Here is a 17,662-nt window from a genome sequence, read left to right on the forward strand (position 1 = left end):
CCACCACCAAGCCCAGATAACTTTTGTATTTTTAGTAGAGATGGGGTTTCACCACGTTGGCCAGGCTGGTCTCGAACTCCTGACCTCGTGATCTGTCCACCTCAGCCTCCGAAAGTGCTGGGACCACAGGCGTGAGACACCCCACTGGCCATGAATTTATTTTATGGAAGAAGATAAACATACTAAAGATTTCATAATTATTTTTCACTAATGTTATACTAACAAGAAGTTACATTATTAAATAATTGCACTAATACTGGTGCTCAATATTAGATAGTGGTACAGTTACTTTTTTGTTCCTCCCATATAAATTTCTCAGCTATGAATTTGTCTTGCCACAAAAGAGGCCTAAAGGATAAATCTATTCAGGCAGATTTGAGAAGAGTAGTTGACTCCCCCAAAATACACATTTTCCTATTTCAACATCATTGTTAATGAAATGAAGTGGCAGTGCTCACCTGGAAGAAAACACTTGCAAAACATACATCCAACAAAAGATCTGTAACCAAAATATACAAGAGCTCTTACTGTTCAATAGTAAGACGATAAATCACCCTAATAAAAAATAGGCAATGGTTTAAACAGATGCTTCACCAAAGAAGACATACAGACAGAAGCAAGCACAAGAAAAGATGCTCTAGATTGGGCGCCGTGGCTCACGCCTATAATCCCAGCACTTTGGGAGGCCAAGGCGGGTGGATCACCTGAGCTCAGGAGTTCGAGACCAGCCTGGCCAACATGGTGAAACCCTGTGTCTACTAAAAATACAAAAAATTATCTGAGCATGGTGGCAGGTGCCTGTACTCCCAGCTACTTGGGAGGCTGAGGCAGGAGAATCGCTTGAACCTGGGAGGTGGAGCTTGCAGTGAACGAAGATCGCGCCACAGCACTCCAGCCTGGGCGACAGAGCAAGACTCAGTCTCAAAAAAGGATATATATAATGATATAGCACTGCATATGTATCAGAATGGCTAAAATTAAAGATGGACCATACCAAAGCTGGTCAAGATATAGAGCCACTGAAACTCTCATACACTACTGCTGAAAATGGAAAATGGTTCATCTGCTTTGGGAAACAACTTGGCAGTGTATTAAAAAGTTGAGCATGCACTTACCATATGCACTAGGCATTCTACTACCAGGTATTTACCCAAGAGAAACAAAGGAATATGCCTACAGAAAGGCTAGTTCACTACTGATCGTAGTCACATTGCTTGATACTTGAGGTCCACAGGAGCAGTAATAGTGACTAAAATTCACTGAGATTTACTAAGTTCCAGGTATTACTTTCATATATTAATTTGTTTAATCTTCATTAACATTTCCATGAGGAAGCAGTGAGGGAGGAAGGACATCTCTCTGGCCAGCCAAATTCCTGGCCAGCCAAATTCCCTTAAGTCAACCATCAATCACTTACCATCGAGGTCGAGTTCATCCTCCTCCAAGGGAAGGCTGAAGATACTGATGGCGGCTCAGTTATGGTATCTCTCAGGGAAGGGAAAAAACTGGCTTCTTCCCTAGAGAGTGGGGCCGTGATCAATGTGGCCGTGATTAATGACACACATGTCCTTTTCATGATGAGTTTCATGGTGCATCGCATGCTAGCCTACAGACTGTACCTTTCCACTCTTCCTGTTTCACTTTGCAATGATATTCACTAGAAAAAGGATCTTTTTCTGGGCTAACAGGCAGCCAATCTTCCAGCAAATGAACTGGGTCACTTAATGAAGAACCATAAGTTGTCATCAATAGTGATGCAGACTTCTCAATGATCAGGTTTGCAGGTTTACAAAGACAGATCAGTAGTTCTTCGTGACAAAGAACAGTAAATGATTATGATCAAAATTGTATTCTTATAATCTAAAACACCAATATTGTCTTTCTTTTTCTTTTTTTTTTTTTTTTTTGAGACGGCGTCTTTCTCTGTCACCCAGGCTGGAGTCCACTGGCGTGATCTCAGCTCACTTCAATCCCCGTTTCCTGGGTTCAAGCAATTCTCCTGCCTCGACCTTTCAAGTAGCTGGGAGTACAGGTGTGTGTCACCACGCCCAGCTAATTTTCTGTATTTTTAGTCCAGACGGGGTTTCACCATGTTTGCCAGGCTGGTCTCAAACTCCTGACCTCAGGTGACCCACCCACCTTGGACTCCCAAAGTGCTGAGATTACAGGCATGAGCCACTGCACCTGGCTAATGCCTTGCAGTACACATCTAAAGAGAGCATTTGACTTTATCTAACCAGTGCTTGACTCTGAAATCTGTTAACTGTATGTCTTCTATGTCTGAAAGTATTTTTTTTCCAATTCCTATGCTAAGTGCTCTATTTACTTCCTTATCTCATGTGAACCTTACAAACCATACGAACATATTTTTTAGAAATTTTCCTTGAAACTTTAAGAAAGCAAATGGCAATGTGGTGTGTGCTTTCTTAAACTTCCTTAAAACTTTATTCAGTGTATCCTCTTCCCAGCCTCACTTTTTGTGACTCTTGGCAATGACTGCATCTTTCACACCATAGAAAATAACCTGCTCTGAAACATCAACGCTCACAAGCTGGTCTTACCAGAACCTCCATGAACCAAATGCTGCAAAGAAGCCTCAGAATCACAGATGCATAACATCTAGCTAGCCTGATAACATTACACAGCTGTTTATTTTTTATTTTTATGTCTATTACTTTTAGTGTAGCAGTTTTCTTATACTCAAATGTCTAAACATTGAAAACTCAGCCAATGCAAAGCTATACAACAAACCCTTTGACAGCCTTCGCACATTTGAACAGTATTATTTTTCTTAAATGAGCCAATTCTGAGACACAAATTTCATAATTCTTGAAAGATTTTCTTCCACAATAGAAATTTTGGTTAAAATGATTTATTTGACCCGAATCAAATTATGGAATTATGTTCTAAAACTAACTGTATTACATTTATTACATCTATTGGCCCTCAAGCCAAAATTCTGCCAGCCATTTCTCGTCTTCGTGCTGTGCTCACAAGGACCAGCAGCATGTGCTAATACTGACTGTCTGCCCAGTAACATGCTAGAGTATGAGGAAGGCACCTCAGGCACATGGAGGCAATAGCTGCAACTGGGTCAAGGCACATGCCCTATTTCTTCATCACTCACACACTCAGAAATCCACAATGGGGAATATGCATTTTGCATGGAAGAAGAAAAAAATGACTCAATCCTAGCTAGGGGGATTCCCACCTCACTCCCTCACAGCACTCTCTACCCAACCACCTTCCCTCGCCACACTCAGACATGCTCACACCTACACACAAGGATGATCTGGCCACTTCTCCCATTAATTCACCACTCCTAGAAAAACTGTATTTGGCTTAACTTTATCAAGCTGTCTGGCTGCCTGAAGGTTTATAGATGTCAAAATAAAAAACTAATTACAACTCGGAATACCGCAGTAGCACCTGATTTAATGTCTAAGGCAGCAGGCCAGTGAACATACTGAGAAAGGAGAACCCTCACACACTCTCCATAAAGGAGCCATGATGGGGATCAGCATGGAGGATCCTCAGAAAACTAAAACTAGAGTTACTATATGCCCACAATCCCACTGATGGGTATACATCCAAAAGAAACAAAAAACAATATATCAAAAAGATATCTGCACTCCCATGTTTATCTCAGCCCTATTCACAACAGCCAATATATGGAGTCAACCTAAGTGCCCATAACAGATGAATGCATAAAGAAATGTGGTATGTATACACAATGGAATACTATTCAGCCATAAAAAAGAATGGGATCCTGTCATTTGCAGCTACAAGGCGTAACTGGGGATCATTGTGTTAAGTGAAATAATCCAGGCACAGAAAGAAAAATATTACATGTTCTTAGTCATATGTGAGAGCTGAAAAAGTGGATCTTATGAAGACAGAGAATAAACTGATGATTACCAGAAGCTGGGAAGGATTTGGCAGGGGAGGGCTCAGGAGGCTGAGGCAGGAGAATTGCTGGAACCCGGGAGGTGGAGGTTGCAGTGAGCCAAGATCATGCCATTGCACTCCAGGCTGGGGGACAAGAGCGAGACTTCATCTCAAAAATAAAATCATAAAATAAAATAAAATTGAAAAAAGTTCCCGGTTATCATGTTGTTGAGTACTACTTAATCAGAATATACTTGAAAACAAAAGATTCTTTGTGGTTTTTTAACTCTTGGTAATTAATCCATTTTAGGCAGTCTTAAAAAAATGATGTAGGACAGGGAAACCAATATGAAATGGGTAGTCTGAAAAGCAGTTATTAGATATTGACCATCATTTTAGGAAAGGCAGGCTATTTACCCCACTATATGCTCCCAGGTAAACTTGTCTTCAATTCCTGTTAAGTCAAACGGGAAAAACCAAACTTGCCATCTCTCTATATTTACTATCATTTAAAAAATTCTGTTAAGAGACACCAAAACATAGTATTTCGTACCTCCTTGCAACATAAAAAATTGGCTTCCCAGCTTTGGAATTCCCAGCTTGGTAAAAAATACTTAATGTTTTCAAAGCCTTGATCTCTTCTTTTTCACATACCTGATGCCTAAAAGAAAAAGAACAGGGTAACTGTGAGGCTTTGTGTTGTCTACTGAGTATGTAAAACAGTCCATAATTGGATAAACAATAAAATGCTAAAATGAAAAATTATTTTAAAAGCAACAGGCATTCTAAAGGGTAATTTGACAACATGCACAAAAAATCTCAAGATATTATTCTTTGAACCACAAAAGCACTTTTAGGACTATTCTAAGAGAACTACTGGATGAGGATATTAACCATAGGATTGTTTTTACTCATGACTTCTTTGTGTCAGACAGAAGTTTATGATTTTTTAACGAATTCATTTTATTAACCTTTTCCTTTCTAGTTTATGGATTTTGAATGGATGAAAAAGGCCTTGCTTTGCCCATGTTTTTTTTTCTTTCTGATTTATGGGAGTCTATCCTCATAAATGGTATGAAAATATTTTTTCAGATCATTACTCAGTTTTATCAACACCATTTATTGAAAGTCCATCCTAATCTTGATTTCAAATACCACTTTTATCATATATTATGTTCCCATATGTATTAAAGCCTGGTTTACTTTTTATATAGTCTGCTCAAGACTCAGTGTGCTTCTTTAACTTCAAGATTAATGTCATTCATCAACTCTAGAAAACATTCATCCTTTACCTTTTCAAATATTACTTCTTCCCATTCTCACTGAGCTCAATTTCTAGGGAACACCTACTAGACATATTTTGGAACTTCTCATTCTATCTTCTGCATCTCTTAATCTCTTTCATATTTTCCATTTCTTTGTCTGTAATGACTGTATGCTAGGTAATTTGCTTAGAAACTACCTTCAGCTATAAACTTAATTAATTAATTAATTAACAGATGGAATTTTGCTCTTGTCGCCCAGGCTGGAGTGCAGTGGCACGATCTCAGCTCACTGCAACCTCTGCCTCCCAGGTTCAAATGATTCTCCTGCCTCAGCCTCCCAAGTAGCTGGGATTACAAGCACCCGTCACATGCTTGGCTAATTTTTATTTTTATTTTTTTTTTAGTAGAGATGGGGTTTCGCCATGTTGGCCAGGCTTCTCTCAAACTCCAAACCTCATGTGATCCACCTGCCTCAGCCTCCCAAAGTGCTGGGATTATAGGCGTAAGCTACTGCACTCTTCCTAATTTTTTTTAAGTATACATGTTTTCTTTTACACTTAGTGTATCTATGAGTATTGTGATTTGGGAAGGAGACTATATTAACTCAGCCCATCATGCTGCTGGTACCAGGTCAGCATTTTAAAAATATTAATGGAAACAACCTAGATATCATTTGATAGGAGAAAAACATATACATGTGCATAGATAAATGACTGGGAGACTATACACCATATGTTAACTGAATTATTTCTGAGCAGGAGGATAAACAATTTTTAATTTTTTTTTTACTTTCTTTAGATTTCTATATTGAGTAATCCAATAATTTTTTTTAAATAACAGAATATTGGCTGGGCATGGTGGCTCGTGCCTGTAATCCCAGCACTTTGGGAGGCTGAGGCCGGTGGATCACCTGAGGTCAGGAGATCGAGGCCATCCTGGCTAAAACGGTGAAACCCTGTCTCTACAAAAAATACAAAAAATTAGCCAGGCGTGCTGGCGAGCGCCTGTAGTCCCAGCTACTTGGGAGGCTGAGGCAGGAGAATGGCGTGAACCCAGGAGGCAGAGCTTGCAGTGAGCCGAGATCATGCCACTGCACTCCAGTCTGGGCAGCAGAGCGAGATTCTGTCTCAAAAAAAAAAAAAAAAAAAAAAAAAAAAAACTGAGGCTATTATAAAGCTACCTTCATTTTTTTAAAACAGAAAATGGGTCTCCAAAAGCATCAGTGGGAATTTAGAACAAAAATAAGATCTAACATTTATTAAACACTTTACAAGTACCAGATACTGTCCTAAGTATACTATATATATTAGATCACATAATCTTCAAAAGCACAAAAGACTGCTTTGTAAGGAAAGGTAGGATCTTAGAAAAAAAGGAGTAATAAAAACATTTTCCTAGAAAAATAGAAAAATGGCCAGGATGCCCTCAGTGATGTTAAATTTAAAAATTGTTTGTTTTGATGTACTCATCTTTATATGTATTTCTATTTACTTATTTTTTTTACTTCTTTTAATTTATATTTTTACTTATTTCTTTATTTATAGACAAGTCTCATTCTGTAGCCTAGGCTGGAATGCAGTGGTGCATTCACAGTTCACTTCAGCCTTGAGCAAACCTCCCACCTCAGCCTCCCAGGTAGCTGGGACCACAGGTACGCACCACCACACCTGGTTAATATCTTATTATTTGTAGAGATGGAGTCTTGCTATGTTGCCCAGGCTGGTCTCAAACTCCTGGCTCAAGCAATCCTCCTGCCTTGGCATCCCAAAATGCTGGGATTACAGACATGAGCCACAGTGCCCAACCTATTTATTTATTTATTTAAGACAAGGTCTCACCATGTTGCCCAGGCTGGTCTTGAACTCCTGGTCTCAAGTGATTCTCCAACCTTGGCCTCTCAAAATGTTGGGATTACAGGTATGACCCACCATGCCTGGCCTAAAAATAGTATTATATTTTTGTATTATATAATTTTCAATTAGGTAATATGAATATTCTGTACAGAAAATATGCCCTTAATTACATAGGAATAAACGTTTGTTACACTAAGAAAAATCTAACAAAGCTAAAAATAAAAATTAATTTGGAAAGTACATTATATACCCATACATTCTTATGTTTATACATTCTTTCATATATTCATATATTCTTTTAACAGTATCAATGGTTTGGGGTTATGTGTACAAAACCATGACCTATATGTAATACAACTAACAACAGGCACTTACAATTCAAGGCATATGATATACAAAGCTTTAACTTCTCATCATCAGATTTTGTTTTTTTCTTTCTGTTTTGGCAGATACTGTGAACACAACATTCAACTCACAGACACTATGGAGACCTTACTAAGCATAAGTTACTGTGAAATGTACTTTAAAAGATTCAGCAAACTACTCTCACTGTATCATCATAGAGTCAGTGTCTAACCATGAAGATCTTTTTGTTCACAAGCTAAATGCCATGAAATGGGATTCAAAACAAATGTCCACAGAAATTTTATAGCAATACTGAAGTAGACTATATTTTCTGAGCCTTAATCTAAAAGAAGTTAAAACCATTCATCTTTATGAGGGTTCTGAAAAGTGTTATAGTGTAGTAGAAAAGTTCTGCACTTAAAACCAAAAGACCTATGAATCAGGTGTGGGATCTCACACAAGCCAGTTATTCACACTGAGTTGCATTTTCCTTAACTATCATCTGAAAATAATGTTTTCTTCATTCCCTGGTAGGTATTAAATGTGAAAACTTATGAAAGCGAGATGATAAAATATGATTTGTTACTACTATTATGGCAATCAACATATAAAACATATTCTTTCTATATATATATATATATATATATATATATATATATATATAAATAAATAATATATAGAATAGGAGAAAAGTTGGGTCCCCAAACATGGCAATGTGATTATTAGATGCATCTTTCCTCATAGTCTTCTATCATATCTAACAAGTGGCCTAGTGGTAAACTCTGCTTCTCAACCAAAAAGAAAGCAATCTACATTTCAAGGTTGTACTTTACCTCATCATAAATTCCTCAAACTTTTAACTGGTAAGGTTAAGGCTGGACCGGTATGTATCTGCCACAGGTTTGTGCTCTGGAGGACCGAGGTATACAAGAAGTGTTGCCATTTATCAAAAGGTCATCTTCCAACAGCTTTATGATCCCTAGATATAGCAAACTACTTAGAAAAAAGTAGCAGTTCACATTTAGCAGTACACATTTCTTTAACTTGTAACTGTTGCTTTTCCTTTAACTGTCAGCTGGTGGTCCCTGTTGATTTGTAAACAGCACCCAAAAGACCTCAGGCCCATGTCTACTTCAATCCATTAATAATGCATAAAAGATTAAAATGCTCTGTGGTTTAAACTCCCATCTCCCAATTGCTTACCCTTAGCTTCATAGTCCACTACTTTTCCTGTGAATGTGCTAACCACTTTTATTGGCATTTAAAAATAATTTGGACTCAATTTCCTTTGTAAGGAACTCCTCATACTTAGGAATTTTGTCCCTTTACAAGTTTATATAACTAGATGGGACAGCAAGTAATTTATGTTAACACAAGAGACTAATAAGAGCTAATGAAACAATGCCCAAATTAATAATTTCAATTTTTAAGTATTTTTTCTTTTTTTTTTTTTTTCCCTGAGATGGAGTTTTGCTCTTATGGCCCAGGCTGGAGTGCAATGGCACAACCTCGGCTCACTGCAACCTCCGCCTCCCAGGTTCAAGTAATTCTCCTGCCTCAGCCTCCCAAGTAGCCGGGATTACAGGCGCCTGACACCATGCACAGCTAATTTTTGAATTTTTAGTAGAGATGGGGTTTCACCATGTTGGCTAGGCTGATCTCGAACTCCTGACCTCAGGTGATCCACCCACCTCGGCCACCCAAAGTGCTGAGATTACAGGCATCAGCCACAGTGCCAGGCCAGTATTTTCTATATAAAGCTTTATTTGCATATACTTAGAGTATCACAAATGAGTTTATCATAGAATTGAAACACTGACAATATTTTAATTACTGAATTCCTATGAATTAGCTGTTCTTCAGATTCAAATGCCAACACTAATTTGAACTTCTTTGGGTCTATGACAGTTTGCAAGCCATACAAACCCAAAGAGCTAATCTGTGATTTCTTAACTTGAGAAAATAATAATAATAACCACCACTGGAACCTACATAGGTCTGTTGATTATTTAACATGACTTAACCTTTTGTTTGTATTTTTTTGAAAAAAAAAAAAAAAAGACTTTCTCTTTCTAAACCATAATTCTTAGTCCAAGAAGATGCAAAGTTTTTAAAAAGCACTATTCATGACCAATAATTTTATTGATCTAAATTAAAATGGAGAATGTTCACTATCCTCATGACTGGGAAATCTTACCTGTTGCTAGAAAGACACTGGCCAATTTTCTCCTGATTGTTCCGGAGTAGATGATGTAAAGCGAGCACATTGCCGTCACTGCTGAAGGAAAGGCTATGATTTACTGCATCACTTGTAGGACAATCAGATGCCATATCAAGAAAAAACATTAGAAAATGCAAAGTCACTAGAATTTTCAACACCAGAGACACACCATACTTATGTTTGAATTAAATTTATACGAAGTAACTTTGTGAAGCAACTGAGATGACAATTACAAATATGGAGGGCTTGTTCCCACAATGTGATTTGTCATTAGACAAAGTAAAAAGGACAAGGAGAAAGTTGGCTTTCCATTTCTGATACCTGGCTTCAGCTTCTGTAGTTAAAGAACAGCAAAATTGAGATGGATGAAACTTTGGAAAGAGGCTGGTATTTTACAGATAAGGAAATGAAGGTCCAGACAAAAGACCTCCCCAAAGATATATAGCCTGTTAGGTCAAAGCCAGTATTAAAACTTTGTTCCTTTTAACTTTCTTTGGGCCCTCAGTCTGCCAGAATATGAATCCTGTGCTGACATTCACTCTCTTTCCAACATGGCTTGTCATTCAGCAATATACCTTTTAAACTCCAATTTTCCTAAAAGAATAAAAGTCAGTAACAATTACAATGATGATAAACTGGAAGAGAGAGTTGTACAAGGCTAGCTTAGATGATAAGGATCAATTAGATTCACACTGCATGAAAAGCAGAATTCCAGACATAAATTTACAAAGCACTTTCTTATGAATTATCTCATTTTTTCTCTCTAAAAACAACTCAGGCAAAGAGTTTATCCCCACTTTACAGATAAACCAATAACTCAGAGAAATAAAGTGAAATAACTGGTTATGGAAATCCAGCAGAAAAGTTTTCTAAAATCATAAAGTTCAGTTACTCATGTACAAAATCTTACGTGTTTGCATTACTTGGTTTAAAGAATAACATTTTAGTTTAGATACACTTCCAAATTTAAGTATCACAAATATTCTGATACCAATAAAAACCTTATTAAACATTCTTATGCATTATCAATACCAATTTGGTTTTAGTTTTAAATAAAAGGAATCCTATTTCTTCCTTATCCCCATATTGTACCATCCTCAAATCCTTTATTTAACTAGACATGTCCAAAATGCCTCTTGGTTTTCAAATATGAAAATCACTACCAAATTATAAAAAATATTAATTTATTTCAAGACTGTCTTTTATAGTAAAATAAAATAAGGCAAGCTATGTCTTGACCTAGAGCAGGAAGAGAAAAAAACCTACACGGAACTTCATGTAAAACAGGTACATGGATTTATGTGAAACTGAAAATATTTGATTCAAACAGAGCAAGTGAATAAGTGGCAAGTAGCTTACCTTCAAGCTGCATCAAAGCTGCTTTTCACAAAATCATTGAAAGGCCGCATATGCTCTTCTTTTGTGAAGAGAACATGATTGGCAATACTCTGAAGTATTTACACAATAAAACAGGGTTATAAATAATCAGATTACTTATTGTATGAAGTTTATACATTAATATATTCTTTAAAAATATGAATTTTCTCGATATAATTTCTGCTAGTAGTTAAAATCAATCATTTCTCATTCTATATTTTAGGTAGTGTTTCTATTCTTCCTAATTATAATTATATTTACATGTACAAATACATATTAAAAATGTTTAATGTCTTAAAATAAAAAATCCTACAGCCTTCATTGTAGTCTGTTTCAGAATGTCTAGAATGATTACGCAAAAAATGATCCTCATGACACAAGACATCTGCTATAATAAAACGTATTCTCATGAAAATAAGGTCCATCAGGTACCTAACTAATGAATTCCTTTGTAATATAAACAAAATAAAAACACATAACTGAAAACCGTAGGGTATTTCCAATATAAATGTAAGAGGAAGTACTGTAAGAAAAGCTGAAAATTTAGTTGGAAGGGGAATTTAAGATAGCTAGATTATCAAAATAATTCACCTTTGACATTAACTTCAAGCCCCTTCCGATTCTAGGTGGTGGCTTTTTATCTAAAATCCCTGCTTCATACAGTGAGACAATGTCAGGATTCATAAATCTGAGGAACATGGCACTTCCTGCTGCACTGATACTGTTCTGAGGGAAACGTTGGCTAACCCCCTAAAAACAAGTTGAGACTTGAGTATAAGGTTTGAATTAAAATAGGGGCATGGGAACAAAGAGTTCAAAGGTCAAAATTTGCACAACAACTCTGAGTCAATCAGTCCTCATGAATGACACATTTCTATTTTTTCTTCTCCCAAAACATGAGAAAATAAAGTTTCCTCTCAATTCTAGTCTTGTATCATATTAAAGTACAATTTAGGTATCTCAGAGGAAAGAAAAACCTCATGGATGAGATGGGTAGAAGAAACCTGAAAACAGATCTTCACTGTATCATCACCTATACTGCAAGTTTGAGGAGTCATGAAAACAGACCAAATTTTCACACAAAGATGATCATAATTTATTAAGATTAACAGACATGAAAGTGTGGTCAACATTATAAGGTGAAACTAAATTTTCAACAACACACCCCCAAAACATCCTATACCTGATAGTACATATTTATGTTTTGTTGTGTACCAGTTACAACTGAATTGAAGAAAAAAATGCTTGCTATAAAAAAACAAAATCTTAGATTCCTATTGAGGAAAAAAAAACTTACTTACAAGTAATGTTATTGCCTGTTGCCAGCTTCCTTTATAACAACCTACCTATTATTTGAACCATGGAGGGATGGGAATTCTTGGGCACCTAAAAGAAAAAAGGATCTCAGCAGAACAGCGAACCCCTATGTCTACCTCAATGTATAATTCTGTCAAATAAAAATAATTTAAGAATTCAAGAAATGGTTGTCCAGCCTGAAAAGTAATGTGAACCCAATATTTAAAGTGGATTGATTTTCTCTTTATAAAACATTCTACATTAAGATAAAGTAAAAGGTACCTTAGACTGGGAAGAGTGCCATAAAATGGGTTCAGCCCCCATCCCTTCCCAGTGTCCCCTGCTTTAAATCATGTTATAGATGAAAATTATATTATTTTGGAATTTACATTTTTATATATACCATATATATTCATTTTTAAAGAACACTTAATGTAACATTTTAATCTCTACAGCTATTCTTGCTTAGTGTGGCTAACTGCTGTTTAAAGTAGCAGTGATTACAAAACTGTAGCATTCCACTCAATGTTTTGTGATTCCGAGGATAAACCTTCCTTTCAAAGGATATTGGTGTGGGGGACCCAGATTTACATGCAGAATATCACGTAACTATTTTTTGCACAATGCCTCAATAAATTAATATTTCCTGTCCTAAATTCACATGGCTGACTCCAGATTAACTCTGGAATCGGGATTATTTCACTTCATCCTGTTCAACGCAGTGCTTCATGAAGTCCACATTTTAAATGCATTCTTATCACTGCTTATAATCTCAAAATAGCTTTCTGTAATCTCTAATAGGAAGTTAGTAAAAATTAGATTTTAGAGAATAAAGTATTTGTAAGCGGTGAGGTGTAACAATATAGTCCCACCTTCAGTTACACTACACACAGTTCAGGAAGCTTTCTTTATGTTACAGTGTTTATTGCATGAAGAACAACCTTAACCCTTCAATAAGGGGAAACTGGTGAAGGTGGCTAAATATAGCTGCTTTATTAGAATGGCTTTAAAACCTAAATACCATTTATTTTTAGCTGAAATATATAAATTTAAAATTAGATATAGAAGTTTTAGCTAAAACTATAAAAAGATAAAGAATTAAGAAAAAATTTGAGTGCTTCGACTATTCCAGTATAGTGTTCAACCTTCTGGGGATGAGGAACCTCTTTGAAATCTGATAAAGGTTAGAAAAATGGATGTATGCTTTCACACAAATTTCTTCACATAATTTTAGAATATTCATAGACCATCACTGCTACTGAGTGGTTCTCTTAAAACTCCCAAATTTTAATCTCAAAACAGACAATTCTCTGGTTGGGCATGGTGGCTCATGCCTGTAATCCCAGCATTCTGGGAGACTGAGGCTGGTGGATCAATTGAGGTTAGGAGTTCCAGACCAGCCTGGCAAACATGGTGAAACTCCATCTCTACTAAAAATAGAAAAATTAGCTGGACGTGGTGGTGCACGCCTGTAATCTCAGCTACTTGGGAGGCTGAGGCACGAGAATCGCTTGAACCCAGGAGGTGGAGGTTGCGGTGAGCCATCGTGCCACTGCACTCCAGTCTGGGTGACAGAGCATGCAAGTGACTGTGTAAAGTGATATGTAAAGTCATGGAAAAAGGAAAGAGGCTTAACTAGTAACGGTCTGTGGAGGTAGAAGTCAAAGACATCCTTCTCCTGTCTGTCCCTGGATCTAAGGCAGATAAAAAGAAGGATAACTTAAAAAAAATTACAGATATCATTAAAGAAAAGCATATTTGTATATAACTTTTATAATTAAAAACAAATTTTAATGATCAAGAGGAGAAGTTATGAGGGCCTTGCTTCATGCAGTGTTAGCAAAAAAAAAAAAAGAGCACTTTTATGTGAAAAGATGATAAAACTGGTAGGATCCACTTCAAAGCTAACATGTTGCCCATCAGAGGATGTGATCTCAATTCGTAATAAAGCATCCAGGAGTTTTTATAGATAGGTAGCACCATATACCTATAGAAATGCATGAGTAGGACTTCATTATGCCTGCTCCATACATTTTACCTTAAAAGAAGACAATCAGCTCTGCACATTCTGTACATAATCATTACTTGACATACCTCAGCACACACACACACAAAATGAATGATACAAACCTTGAAACAGAGTGTCATTATTTTACTGGCCAAACTGTTGCCTCAGAGGAGAGTCTGAATGGAGTCAGTCTGCCAATTCTACTTCTTTACAAAACATGTTCCAGAGCAGTTGGTAGAGTAAATGCCAAGAACCAAATAGAGTAACCAGAACTCAAGCCAGTTCATCCTGAGAACAAAACAAAATCAGGTTAGTGCATTTTTGTTCTCAGGTAGATAGCTGAAGAGTGGCAAAAACATAAACCCAAAGTTGACAACTACTTGCTAAATTAAGGCAAAGGTGACTGATTAATATTTCTCCTGAGATTTATCTGCGTATATTGTTTATGATAGATGACTATATACGATGTCTACGATAGCTGTTAATTCCAAGGATTAACCGGTGAAAGCTATTAAGAGAGGCCTAGGCTTTACCAGGAGACAAAATGTCCAAGATTCAGTTCAAATTACATCACAAAATGAAAGAGAACAGAAACAGAAGATGACAGCAAATACTTTAGTTTGATTTGTACAAGCATTTGCACAGAGCAGAAATAAGACTGATGATCAGAAGAGTTCTACTCTCTTCTCATACAGTCAGGGGAACTCAGTGAATGCTGAACATAGACTAGGTAGAGACATGACAAAAACAGAAAGACTATAGGATTTTTGAGAAATCAGGAAGAAAAGGAACTGGGCGTTCAGAACCCAGAGATCAGCCAGATTTACATACAAAGCAAGGGGGACAGGGATGAGGGCTGAAATTCCAATTACCTAAATGACATCCTTGTAACTCCCTGTAGTAAAGCAGTTTGGGGTACACTCAAGAAAAATGATCTACTGGTAAATCACTGTTTAATCACAAGAAGAAATTTATAGAGAATAGGGGTAGCCATAAAAAGATGCCTCAATCCTCAAGCAGTAACAACAACGGCCAGGATCATGGCCCATAGCTCTCTAATTCTTGCCTGGTCCCAGGATTACAATAATGTGATAGGTGAGATCTGGCCTAATAGAAAATTCCTTCTCAAAGTCATTTAATATAAAACTCAACAACAAATTAAAGCTACTTGAATTTAACTGATTCTTTATTTAAAAAATTACTGAGTATTTTCAGTGCTAATCATAGGTAGATCCTAATAAGATAATTCACAATAGTCATTTTCAAAACATTTGAACGTTTGTGAAGTAATTTTAGGCTTTAGGAAGATTTCAATGATTTGGCGCTGTTGCTAATCAATCAGTATAAAATTTCAGTTATACAAGGTAAGTTCTAGAGATCTGTGGTGCAGCATTCTGCCTACAGATAGCAATACTGTATTCTACACTTAAAAATATGTTAGAGGGTAGATCTCATGCTAGGCGTTCTCACCAAAATAAAATACCAGAGGAGAAGCATTTCAGGTGGTAGCAGCAGCAAGGGTGCTTAAGGCAGAAACAAGTCTAACAAGGAGGGACAGAAAGGTAGCTGGTGTGGCTTTGGTGAACAAGAAGGAAAATGGCATAAGATGATGTTAGAGATGAGGCAGGGCCCAAATCAGGTGGAGCCTTGTAGGACAGGATAAGGAGTTTGAATTTTACTTTAAGTACAGGTGTAACAAATATCCTACAGCTTTAAGCAGAAACAAATCTACAATGACAGATTACCTTATTAGTTATACTTTACTATAAGTGAAACCATTTTTGGTACACTAAAAAGGAAATAGCCTTTTAACACTGGAAAGGAACCACCACCCTTCTCAACGTTTTCACATGTATTAGGAATGATGTGATTTGAGGAAAATTTTTCATTAAATTAAGAGAGAGACCTAATAGCCATATGATGTTTTCAGTGTTTAAAACAAACAATATCATAATATCAAATGCAAATACAGTGCTTACATTTTTAAAAATTGTGTAAGATATTATGGGGAAAAGAACAGCAAACTGGAGGTAGTAAACAGGCACAAATCGTGGATTCCAATTCCAGCGTTGCGACAACTGACTGAAATTAGGTTTAACTTAATTACCTTCTCAAATATATGAAGACAGCGGAGTAGATCAGTGATTTTTAATCAGTGTTTAAATGGAATTTTTCAGTGGGATGAAATGATATAGGACACTATTCAGGTCTAGCAGTGCCAACCACTTCCCTACAGCTGAAAAGTCACCTAACTAAACATCTAAGATTTCTTCTGGCTCTAAAATTTTATCAATTCATTCAACAAACATTTATTGAACAAATATGTTCTGAAGGATTTGCTATGTACCAGGCACTTTTCTTCCCCACTTACTCTATGCACTTACCCACTGAGAACAAGGAACCACACTGGCCAGAGCCATCACTATAGGGAGCTCTCCTTGATCACCCATCACTGTGACCAGTTCCACCAATTGCTCAAACCCATCAGCCAATACCGTTTCTGAAGTGTGTCAAATTCTGTGCCTTGTTGAGGGATTTTCATCAGAACTTCCATAAATGTAGCTGTCTGGAGATCCTTGTAGTACCCTAAACCTGATGTGGACAAATGGATGCAAATTTACTAACATGGCCTTACTGAAGTAATTTTTGCTTATCTTACAAGCCAGTTCTCTAGGCTGTGTATTTCTATATGAAACTTTCATTTGATCTCACCTATGGAGTGCATGAGACCACCGTCTATGCTGGCACTGAGTAAGTTTGACATTGCAAGGACTGCACAGTGCCTCCGTGATGCCAACCTCCGAGACATGCCACGTTTCCTGCCACCTGTTTGTGCACTTTCATCTTCAGCTTCACTGCAGTCACTCAAAAGGTTCATAAATAGTGTGAAGTATCTGAGAAATAAAAAGACTGACCTTTACATAGCAAAGGCCGTATCAACTAGAAAGCTAACCAGACATTCCAAAACTATCACATGTGCACGGTGTGACTGGCCCTGGATTAACTGCTTCTCTCCTCTCTCAGGATAATCAGCCAGGGTGACTCATTATGAAGCATGCTGTGTTGGGCATGATTATACCTGATATAGCCTAGCATACCTTTCATAACATAAGCATCAAATAGATGCAATGTTTCCTGGTAAATGTGTCATTTTTAATGTTTAGTATATAAAATTAGTGGTCCAAACAGCTTACACAATGTCACTTTTGTAAATGACTTAGTGAAGCAATCTGGGTTTTATTACAAGCAAAATTTCAGGGATCATATTATTTTCTTTAAAAATCATAAAACACAGTTATTTTCCTAATCCTAGTCCTGCATGGGGAACATTTCTTTGTTTTCTTTTTTGTTTTTTTGTTTTTGTTTTGTTTTGTCTTTGAGTGTGGGTGTGTGTGTGTGTGTGTGTGTG

General features: G+C 36.8%; 1 pseudogene across 1 annotated transcript; it reads right to left on the reverse strand.

Annotated features, from left to right (window-relative positions):
• Positions 1-4,443: 4,443 nt before the first annotated feature.
• On the reverse strand, positions 4,444-17,065 carry NF1P2 (neurofibromin 1 pseudogene 2; annotated as a pseudogene). The gene is made up of 8 exons (NR_028506.2): positions 16,966-17,065; positions 16,638-16,845; positions 14,376-14,541; positions 12,296-12,335; positions 10,932-11,020; positions 9,549-9,659; positions 8,185-8,330; positions 4,444-4,549 (listed from the first exon to the last, which is right to left on the reverse strand). The product of NR_028506.2 is annotated as a neurofibromin 1 pseudogene 2 (transcript).
• Positions 17,066-17,662: the final 597 nt, after the last annotated feature.

This window comes from Homo sapiens, chromosome 15 (assembly GCF_000001405.40).
Source record: "Homo sapiens chromosome 15, GRCh38.p14 Primary Assembly".
Taxonomy (NCBI): Eukaryota; Metazoa; Chordata; class Mammalia; order Primates; family Hominidae; genus Homo; species Homo sapiens.